The sequence below is a fragment of the Homo sapiens genome, chromosome 4 (genome assembly GCF_000001405.40).
Source record: "Homo sapiens chromosome 4, GRCh38.p14 Primary Assembly".
NCBI lineage: Eukaryota > Metazoa > Chordata > Mammalia > Primates > Hominidae > Homo > Homo sapiens.
This window is the reverse complement of record NC_000004.12, coordinates 126,529,429-126,540,875: the sequence shown is the minus strand read 5'-3', so window position 1 is coordinate 126,540,875 and position 11,447 is coordinate 126,529,429. Positions and strand designations below refer to the sequence as shown.

General features: G+C 34.9%; 1 annotated feature.

Annotated features, from left to right (window-relative positions):
• Positions 583 to 752: an enhancer, noted in NCBI's record as "experimental_73007 CRE fragment used in MPRA reporter constructs". NCBI's record gives its function as "activates a minimal promoter by MPRAs in K562 erythroleukemia cells, with activity observed for both the introgressed and non-introgressed 4:127461364 variant alleles {active_cell/tissue: K562}" and the evidence as "EXISTENCE:reporter gene assay evidence [ECO:0000049][PMID:34662402]".

Below are 11,447 nucleotides of genomic sequence, written 5' to 3'. Positions count from 1 at the left end.
ACATAATGATACTATGAACATCTTTGCACAAAAGCCTTTTTTACGTTCAAAACGCTAAATTGTTAAAAATATCTTATTGTAGACCTTAAGAATTTAAAGGCAAAACTGCTTTATAAAACAATATGAAGAACATCTTTAAACATAGAGTAAATATAATCATTTTCTTAAATGAGTTGCTTTAAATATAGCATCATTTTTATAGATTTGTATCAAATATCTCTGTGAAAGACCAAGCGTATGAAAATATCATTGAAGTAGGAAAGTTTGCATTACTACCACAGATCATTTGTTTAGAAGGAGGAATCTTTAAGGGATAGCACAAGCTGTTTTTGAGCATTAAGTGTACCCTAACATGATGACATTTGTGATTATAGTCACATAAATTGCTTTACAGGCTCCAAGTACCTTAATTACTTCACAGCTGCAATATTTCCAAACTTGTTTGAAGATTTTCCAGGAAAAGTGCACTTTATGCCTGATTAAGGGTACTATCCCAAGTGGAAAACCATGATTTGGCTTTCTTTCTCTTAAATTTGTTCATGAATGAAAACTCCAGGTGAGGGTGATTCTGTAGAGAATATTAGAAACTTCAAGAGACAGTAAGTTTCCAGTGATCAAGCAATTACTGAAAGCACCAATATCATTGTTCCTTTACCTTTTGTTGAATTACATAAATTATTATTTTTTCATTCTGTAGCTAAGTATAATACTTTGTCCTCTTCCCCATCAGACTGTCACTTTCATCTATGTAAGCACAAAACTGGTTTAACAGAGCTTCTGTGCAAATATATGATGGATCCAATTCTTAGAGCTTCCTGTCTGTAGGTCTGTAGGTAATGCTGCAGTCATTTTAGATTAGTGATAAACGGTCATGAAATTGGAAACAGGTTTCTCCAGGTTTTCACAAGAATCTGAAAAAACACAAATACGTGCACCCAAAAAGTATGAGTCCAACTCAAACATCATAAAATAATACACAGTGCATGCTTAACGGCATGCAAAGCCATATGAACATATTAAATGACATTGCCTGATGCCAAAGTCAAGTATGGTTTCAACATTCAATGTGTGGAAATTTGGAGCAGTCTTAGCTTAAACTTGAACTAATGACACAGCTTTATATTTACCCTTGTGATGTCAAAAAAAAATTACTCTCTTCAACTCTCTCCTTCAAGGCTGTTGTTGATAAGTGATGCTTTGCCAATATATTATCCTTGGAGATAAGGATTATAAAATGGCAACAACAGCAACAGAATAATGTTGAACATTTAAAATGTGTCAGGAAATTTTCAAGTATTGCCTCATTTTATTTTCACAACCATCTTTTAAGGTAGGTGATATCATTATTATCCCCATTGTATAGCGGACAAAGCTGAGTCTTTACACTGTTACATAACTACTTCATGGTCACAGAAGCAGTAAATGATGATTACTGATTTTAACATAGTTTATTTGGGGCCAAGATGCATTTATTTGAAAGTCCCTCCACTTGACAACTTCGCTAAACTGAGAATTCTGGTCTTTTCCTGATTAGACAACTCAGTTTCCTTCTATGGAAATTGGACCACATTTCTGCCTCTAGAATGGAGGCTTTTAGGCAAGAATGGACTAATAACAGCTATCCAAGGGCTCCTCCTAATTTGTAATGTTCTGTTTCATCGCTTTTTGCCACAGGCAACACTATTGCTTCATACAACTCTAGAGTGTCAAATCTACGGAAGCAACATCAGTCATAGATTTATAAACAAGTTATAGTGAAGTATCCATAACCTCTTTATTCAGCTATCCGAAACAGACACATTCAAACACTAAGAAATTAATACCCAGACTCTCTAACCCTCCACAACAACCAATTTAAAGAGATCCCCTTCTGTGTTATTCTACTTAGTCATCCATGCAGAAAACAGATCCAGCAGGGAGCCTCCCTGGGAATAGGTATTAAGATAGTCACCTTTAGTTCCATGTCTTTCTATTTCTTATTAGTGGAGGAGATTGTAGAATAAGAAACATAGTCACCTAGGATTTTGTGAAGTGGAGCATGTGAGCTTTAAGACTCTGAGGTTTCAAGAATATATTCAAATTTGGGAACTGGCTCTTTGATTCACTCTGACTTGACCATTATATAAAACTTTTTTATTACTTTCATCACCTCTTATGAATTCTCAGGCAAAGATTTCTATATTTCCATAACAGATAGAAGAATGTGTAAATGATTTAATCTCTAAATGGTCCTTATCACAGAGATGGCATATCAATTAATATATGATTTCAGGGGTAAATAGAAACCCACTTCCTAACTTCCCAAGTCCATCTTTCACTTGCTCACAGAGACCATAAATTATTAACGTTAATTACAGAGCCATTTTTTTGATTTAAGGCTCCTTGTCTGGGGTTAAAGTTCAAATGCACCTGGGAATGACAATACACCAAGCTTTATAAATCACAGTGTGATGGGCTAAGCACATATTTTCATGAAGTGTTTTGATAGGGCAGAGTGCTAAAGGGAGAAGAGTATGAGCCCAAGAGAAGAAAGGGGGAGGGTTGAACTAAGACCTCTTGGAAAAGGCTTTATAAACTCATGAGAACCTCATATTTATGTGTTTACTCTGCATGATAAGGTCACCTACAAAGTGACAGAGATACCAAGGTTAGGAACTTTGTAAGACCTAATCTGAAAACCAGCCATTCACAGCTGCGAATCTGGAATATATGGTATACAGCAGGTCAAGTTGGCATCATGTGCAACAATCAGCATCAAAAATAAGAAGTGCTGAAATGGACTTCCATGCAGGATACAAACTCCAAAAATAATTAACGGATTTGAGGAAGAAGGAAGGAATCTGAAAAAACATTTATTCTGTGTATCTCATCAAAAGTCGGTAGAGGGTAGACAGTTTGTGAGGCTATAAATCCATGACCGGAACACAAGAGCATAGTGATTCTTCATAAGCAAAGCCCTCATGTTGGTTCTCTGTTTTTGAGATTTGTTCAGGCAATGACAGATCCGGGTTAGCACACTAATCACCAACCCAGATGAAATGACCTAATACCAATAAGTAGTTCCTTTCGTCATTATGGCCCTTAAACTTGACCGTAAGTCTGCAATGGGTCACATTCCAAATATTTTGGAGAGTGAACAATATTTTGTTGATGATGATGATTAAAACAAATAAAAATAATAGCTACCATTTTAGCACAAGAGTTGGTTCTGGAATTTTCCAAAGTATAAAAATGTGAGTCTCTGAAGTCTCTTTTTACAGAAGCTGTTATGGTATATATGGATTGTCAGAATACAGTCAGCTTGTGCTTACTGATGAGGGAATCATAAATTTGAATTTCCTCACATATGGTCACATAAAATTTCAAAATAATACTATACTCATGTAAAAACCTTACCATTTGTTAATGCAACAGAAAGAGGTAAAAACAAAATGAGACTTGACTGGCTAGCCATTGTGCAGAGAACTAAGTTGAGTCATTGACTTGGGAGAAAACCTGAGGAAAGTTAAGCAAATTAATTAGTTTGATTCTCATTTTTATGCTTAGGCATAATATAGCAATGCTTACTGCAGAAGGAAATGGTAAAAAAAATGAACTGGCCTGAGGAATACTAGAGAAAGTAAAAGGAAAGCTGACCCATGGTTTACTGCTTCCAGTAACAGACGAATTTTATTTATATTAGTTCATATACCATAACCAATGTCTAGTTTGATTCTGTACTCCAAACTCCTTTACTAATAGATGAATTTCATATGCGATTCTACCTTCCACATTGCCCATGGCTTCCTACTGCTGTGTGGAACTAAAAGGCCAATAGTAAGAAGAGTAGGTTTATCTAAGATACATAATACTTACTCGGTGGACAGGCCTATAGGACCTGGAAGCAGTCTCTTCCAGTGGGTTCACTGAAAAGAATGTACTTGAGTCAATGGATCAATAAGCCTTCTATCATTTTTAGTTAATTTTCCTTCAAGATCCTCAAAACACATCCAATTTGTTTACTGGTATTAATAACTGCATTTTGTTCCTTTGTATAAAAATATGGTGAGCTAACATTTTGGCTATAAAAGTACTCAGAAAAATGTTGTTTTACAAATGTTTCAATGCTTCAGGAACTGCTATCAAAGTAGAGAGATTCAACAAGTAATGCAAAAAATGTCAGTGTCTTCGTTCACTTTGCTACAACAGGATACCATAGACTAGGAGGTTTAAACAACAAAGACTTGTTTCTCATAATTCTGGATGATGGGGACTCCAAGATCAAGGCACCAGAAGAGGACCTGCCACCTGGTTCATGGATGGCCATTTTCTTGCTGTGCTCTCACATGACAAAAAAGAAGGTAAGGCTGAGCGCCATGGCTCATGCCTGTAACCCCAGCATTATGGGAGGCCGAGGAGGGTGGTTCATTTGAGGTCAGGCTACGAAACCAGCCTGGCTAACATGGAGAAACCCCGTCTCTACAAAAATACAAAAATTAGCTGTTCATGGTGGTGCATGCCTGCAATTCTAGCTACTTGGAAGGCTGAGGCAGAAGAATGAACCCGGGAGGCGGAGGTTGCAGTGAGCCAAGATTACACCACTGCACTCCAGCCCGGGCAATACAGTGAGACTCTGTCTCAAAAAAATAAAAATAAAAAAAGAGGGTGAGAGAGCTCTCTGGGGTCCCTTCTATAAGGGTACAAATCTCATTAATGAGGGCCCCATTTATATTACCTTTTCACCTCACAAAGATCCCACCACCTAATACCATCACATTGAGAGTTAAGATTTCAACATATGTATCTGTTGGAGGGGGACACAAATATTACACACATCACAAGTGCACATAATTTATTTATATTATTTTGTTTTGTTATTTTTATTTATACATGATAGTTACACATATCTATGGGGTACATGTAATATTTTGATGCAAGGATACAATCTGTAATGATCAAATCTGAGTAATTGAAAAATCTATAATCTCAAACATTTAGCATTTCTTTATGTTGGGTACATTTCAAATCTTACCTTCTAGCCATTTTGAAATATGCAATGAATCATTTTTAACTATAGTCACTCTATTGTGCTATTGAACACTACAATTTATTTCTTCTTCTCTAACTGTGTATATGTTCCTATTAACCAACCCTTCTGCATCTCCCTCTCCCCACTTCCCTTTCCAGCCTTGGGTAACCACCATTCTATTCACTGCTTCCTTATAAATAGCTTCCATATATGAATGAGAACATGCAATGTTTATCTTTCTGTGCCTGGCTTATTTCCCTTAACATAATGTCCTTCAGTTCTATCTGTGTTGCTGCAAATGACAGGATTTCACTTCATTGTATGAGTAAATATATCACATTTTTAATCCTTTTGTCTTCTGATGGACACCTACATTGATTCCATATCTTGGCTATTGTGAATGGTGCTGCAATAAATATCAGAGTGCCGATCTCTCTTCAATATGTTGATTTTCTTTCTTTTGGATATATACCCAGCAGTAGGCTTGCTAGGTAATATGTAGTTCTATTTTTAGTTTTTTGAAGAACCTGCATACTGTTTCCCAGAGTGGCTGTACTAATTTACATTCCCACCAACAGTATAATTAAATATGAAATATGCTTGCCAAATGTTGTATATTAATTAATTTTCCTGAGGTTATTGTAAACATTATAGTTTACTAATTCTTTTTCCAAGTGGTATCTTATTTGGGGCTTTGAGCAACCATGTACAGTAGGCACCTTTTTAATGTATTGGAGGTAAACAGTGACAACATTTCAAAATGTGATGCTGGTAAATGAGGCTCAGGAATGCCAAGGGAAAACTGATAAATAGCAGTATGAAGACTTCAACTTTGGTCATCTAACTTTCAATATTGAAAGCATTTCAATTTTGAATGCAATCTTATATGTGTAAAATTACATAAGGAAAAATATTTAGTAAGGTGATATTCACCATAAATTCATCAAATGGAATAAACATGTTTATTAAACTATCAATTAAATTGAAACATGTGCTTCAATAATACATAGGTACATGCATATGGATATATATATCTATATATTCTATACACATATATATGTATGTATGTTCTTCTAGTGTAAAAGTTGTTGACCTGAAGAAGTAAAATATTTACTGTTGCAAGCAGCATTCTTTATGTTTTAGAATTACTAAATACTGTTCTAGATATTATCATTTCAGACAATTAAAGGGACAAAGACATTAACATCTCAACTGGTTTTCTTCAGAGACCTTAATTTCAAAATGCAGTGATCTATGACACATTTTAAAATAAAGTATTAACTACCTTTCAGTAAAGAAAATCCCTTTTTGTATGCAAGTTAATTTGCCTTTATTGTCAACTGAAAAGCCCAAAATGCAGATAAGAGGCCAGACAAACCAAGTTTATGGAATGAAGTTTCATACATATTCCAATGGAGCTAATGCTGGGCAGAAGGTTTTCCATAGTCTTCTATTTTTATGAACACTTCATCACCATTTCTGTGTGTATGTGTTTAATAGAAAATGAGAGATACAGAGCTTTCCATCTTTATGTTATTATGAGAGATATCACAAACCTGGGATTCTGTTTTCATCAATTATAGGTTTCTAAAGGCATCTTTAATATCCATTGACTATGGCATATGGAAAAATATGTCTAAAAGAAAAATTGACCTGTTAGAAGTGCAGAGAAACTTTTCTCTAAAGAACTCATGACACTGTCTTAGAATTTTGCATGTAAAAGAAATCAGAGAAGGAAGCACTGGGACACACTGCTAGATGAACTAATATTTGCTTAACCTTAAAATTGACTTTGGAAAGAACTTCCCAGGGAATATGGAACCCTTGAAACAAATGAGCCAACATGTTCAGAAAGAAGCTGTGTGACAGGCTTTCCATGGCTTCGACCTTGAAGGTAAACACAACGGCAAAGAGCCCCTTGGTGTTCCTGGAACCCAAATTTACTCAAGTGGACAAACTTGCTAAAGTCACATTAATAGAGAGCAGTGGACATTCAGTAGAGACCCTGAAGCTCAAATGAAAGAGAAATGGGACTTGAACTATGTTACACGAGCATGTTTCTAGAAAAGAATGCCCTTCTGCGAAAGTAAAAATTTAATCCATATGTGGGAATAAGAACCATAAAGGAAAGAGTTTAAGCATGAAGGAGTTTTAATTTATATTCCTACTCATCTCTTATGTTGGCTTGGGATTCCGAGACTTGGAAGAAGGTATGGTGTCATCTTGGTGGGCTAAAGTGGAGATTTACACTCTGTCTCAGCCAACTTTCAAGGTACCTTTGTGCAGTCTGGGCTCTTAGCAAGGCCACTCTTAGCCCCGGTGGGTTAAAGGCTACAAGAAGGTATTCAGTGCACCAGCCAGCAAAAAAGAGGTAGATTATAGTCATGAGGATGAAGTTCTCTCTAGACAGATGCTTTTTCTGTCATTCTGCATACTTTGGTAAGCTGAGTATTTAACTTCCTTTGTTTTGAGTTACGTAATCCCTCCGGAGATTTTAGCTAGTGGAATTTTAACCCTTTTCTACCAAAGCAACTTTTCAGTTGACCTCCAACTTTCCCAAAGGAAAAAGTAGAGTTTTCTGCACTTCTTTGGAAAAGGTTAGTTTTGGGTCACTGAAAGTGGCAGGGTAGCATTGTGCCAGTGAATGACATGTCATGAGTAATTATGGAAGAACTGAAAAGAAAACCAATTAATGGTCTAATCAGTATGCATAAAAACATCTGTTTCTAATGCTTGCAATATACTTTTTTCTAACTTAAATTTTATATCTAAGAGAAAGATATATACAGAGGCACTGAAGCACATTTGTATTACTACCATTTTTAGGGCCTACACTGTGAAAACACATTTATAAATGAAAACTATGATGATTTACATTGTTTCAGAAATTATATGAGTATTTCTACTTCAAAATGAGTGACATTGCTAAAGTAAATATTTGCAAAGTGTTAGTAATATCACAATATTACAACCAAGATTGCAAAACCCTTAATATACAAATATCTGCTTAATACACCCCAAACATGTTATTTAAGCTGCAGCAGCAGAAACCCCATTTTATTATCTGCAGTAATTGCTATTCATGATTGAATTAGGTGTATACAGGAAACTCCCTACCCAGGGATGATTCAGGAAAGCCAAATACACCATGTATTGCAATGAGGTAGCTTTACTGTTATTATTTACAATAGGATTTAATGGAGTGAAAGATTAAGACCTCAACAGCTCTGAAAGAACCTTAGCTTACAATGGGAACATTGCTCAATTCAGGCATTGAATGAGGGCAGCACATTACTGACTAGCGGACAAACCAGACTGTTAGTCTGCCATCTCTGTTTTTTTGCCTTTTATGTCTATTTTGTTAAATGGAATTCCAGTTGCTCCTTTCTAAGACTCTGACATGTCTAGCAATGAAAAAATGTTAGCTAGTTCTGCAGAGGAAGCTCTTGGGAGTTTTTGTGCATTCTTCTTTCTATTAATGTACAAAGTCTTTAAACTGCAATTTTTGTAGGTTCAGGTAAGACTGTGTATAATTTATTATATATCAGGTTGCTTCAGTAGCCTCTTCTGTGTTGTACTTATTATAATGTTACTTACCTGCATAGCACAGGTGTTGTTTTGACCTCTATGTCCAGAAGTAGGCTAGACTCCAGATACTGTGAAATGAAGAAACTTGTATCTTCTCATCATTGCATTTACCTGGTACATGTAAGCACTCAAGAAATATTTGTTGCATTACAAAATAAACCAAGACCTATAAGCTCTTGAAGTTTTTTATTCCAATGGCCATCTAATAAATATCTTATTAGTTATAAATTGAAGAACTTTATTCTGCTGTGACAATTTCCAATTAAAGACACCATAGGACTAGAATGCTTGTGTTTGAATCATGGACTCAACCATGTAAATAATCTTAGACAAATTATGTACTGCATATTTATCTCAAATTATGATAATACATAAAGGGAGGCTATTGTGAGGATTTAATGGATTCATACTTGTAAACCCATTAGCACAGTGGCATAAAGTAAATGGTAAATATTATCTATTACTAGTGTTACTATTACATTAGTATCAGGATTAATGGCAGTATTAGTGTTATTGTCATGGAATAAATTTTTGCTTCTTATATCAACACTTCAAAGTTAGATCTGAGGATTCCATATTGTTAGAAGTCTGCCAAATAATTATCCTTTAATAAATATTCATAATGAGTCAAGATTAAGACTTTAGGAAAAGATTCAATGGTTTTCACATTTAGCTACTTTCAGCAACCCTACCATGCTTTTCTTACCTAGGCAAAGCTGTACACTATAGCAAGATGAAAGTAGTTTTGGTGAGCACTGTCATGTTTTAATTGTTGTGTAAGAAACTGAAATTGTATTATGGAAACTGGAAATAATATCTGAGCACATGTATTGGCAAAGCCTTTTAGTCCTCTGTTGTTTTATTTTTTTTATGACTAGTCCACTCTTCTATTTGAGTATAAACATTATCAGTAAAAGTAAAGTTAAGAAAGGGTACAAAGGGTACTTACATAACTTCCAAATTTTACTTTGACAGTAATTTCCCCAGCTGTGAAAATAAGAATTGACTTATTTCCTCTGGTGATAGAAGTAATTTAGGGGAGTGGAATAAGTGAATCATAGGCTGTTAGAGCTGGAAACAACCTAGCACATTATCTTGGGCAGATATGGTAACTACATGGCAACATTGTCACAAGTATCATGAGCCCATGTTCATGGCATTCATCCACATTGGGAGTTGGGATTCTTAGTCTGAATGGGCTTGTTTTCAGAATCTCTCAGAACAGCTCTCAGATATCCACTAACAAATTGATTAAAGTTGCCACCAAGATGAAACCCTCCCTGAGTTTCAGTCCATCCCTCTCTGAGTTTCAGTCCGTCTCTTTCTGTTGACAAACATATTGAAAGCCTGAGACTTTTATTTGAATCTCCCCATGTCAAAATATTATCTATGATCATATCTACAGTTTTCTAAGTCTGAATTTAGTATTCTTTCTCTTCCAGTATCTAGGGGAAAAATAATCATGTGTGAAAAAAATAGAATACTAGTAAAAGGCAAAAAAAAAGTCCTTAAACTACATTTATTCTTTTAAATTTATTTTCTAGGAAACTCAAAATATACAATAGGCAGGCAGGTATATTGGGGTGGGAATGCATTTAGCAGTAGAAGGTAATGTTGTAACCACAAGTGTGCGAGGAAGCCATTGGTACATATGGGAAGGGACCGTATACAGTTAATGATTCAAATGGAATACTGACAGGTCTTATTATTTTTGAAATGTATTTGAAAAGCTAACCCTCGTATCAGATTTTACTACCAATCCCACATGTAAGGAAGATTATAAAAAGTTTCACAAATGTTTGGAAAGCTTTTGTTAAACTCGTTCCAAACTTATTTAAGCATTTAATCAATGTAGGTTCATTTTCATCATCTTAATATAAAACTAGTAGTTTTCAGTTTTTTTCATGAATTGATATGTGCACTAAGCAAATCGAGTTCAACTGTGTTGTGTTTTTACAGAGTGTTAAAAATGTCAAATGAAAATGCAAATGTTTGCAAATATCTGAAGCATTCACTAAATGACTTTGAAATGATATTTCTCCATATGCCAAGTTAGCATATTACACATAACAATTATTCTAACTCCAACGAAAACTCTGTAATTTGATGTGCATGAGTCTCCACTTTGCTGAATGCAGGCCCTGTTTCCTCAGTTCAGGGGTGTGAGGTCAGCTCCCTCTGAACCTTTTCAATAGTGTTTCCCAAATTGAGTTGTGAATTAAGAGTTGAAGAATGCAATCCACCTTCTACATAGTTGATGGATAATATTTAGCACAGGTCTATAGATGGTTTCCAGTAGGCCACATTGTGATTTGTATTGTCGCCAAACTAAACAGACTCAAAGATCTACATAAAATATAATGCTTTTAAATTGGAAAATTTTAATTTTAAAATTTAAATGGAAAACCCCCACTCTCCATGCTTTTAAAATGCTTTTTAAAATTTCTTTGCAGTGTTTTTAAATTTACTTGACTAAAATCTCGTCAAGACAGAGACCAGTGAAGAGTTTTGGCATGTAGTAAGTGTTCAAGAAATCCTCCTAGCTAGTGAAAAAAACAGAAAAACATCACTTTACATATCATAATAATCTCACCACCTTAATCCATTTATAGCATTTATCTGATACCATATCAACTGTTGGCTATTTTGTTAATAGCACATTCAGTTATTATTCACTTATTTTCAGCACTGTTTTATATTAGAAGCTAATAAATGCAAAACTAATTTTACATAGTGGTTACATGTTTATGCTTGATTTTTGTAACTCAGAATTGATAAATGTTTTTTAATAATAGCCTCAAAAATGTTCTGAGAAGAAACTGATACTGGATTAGTTTAAAATTATGTCGGT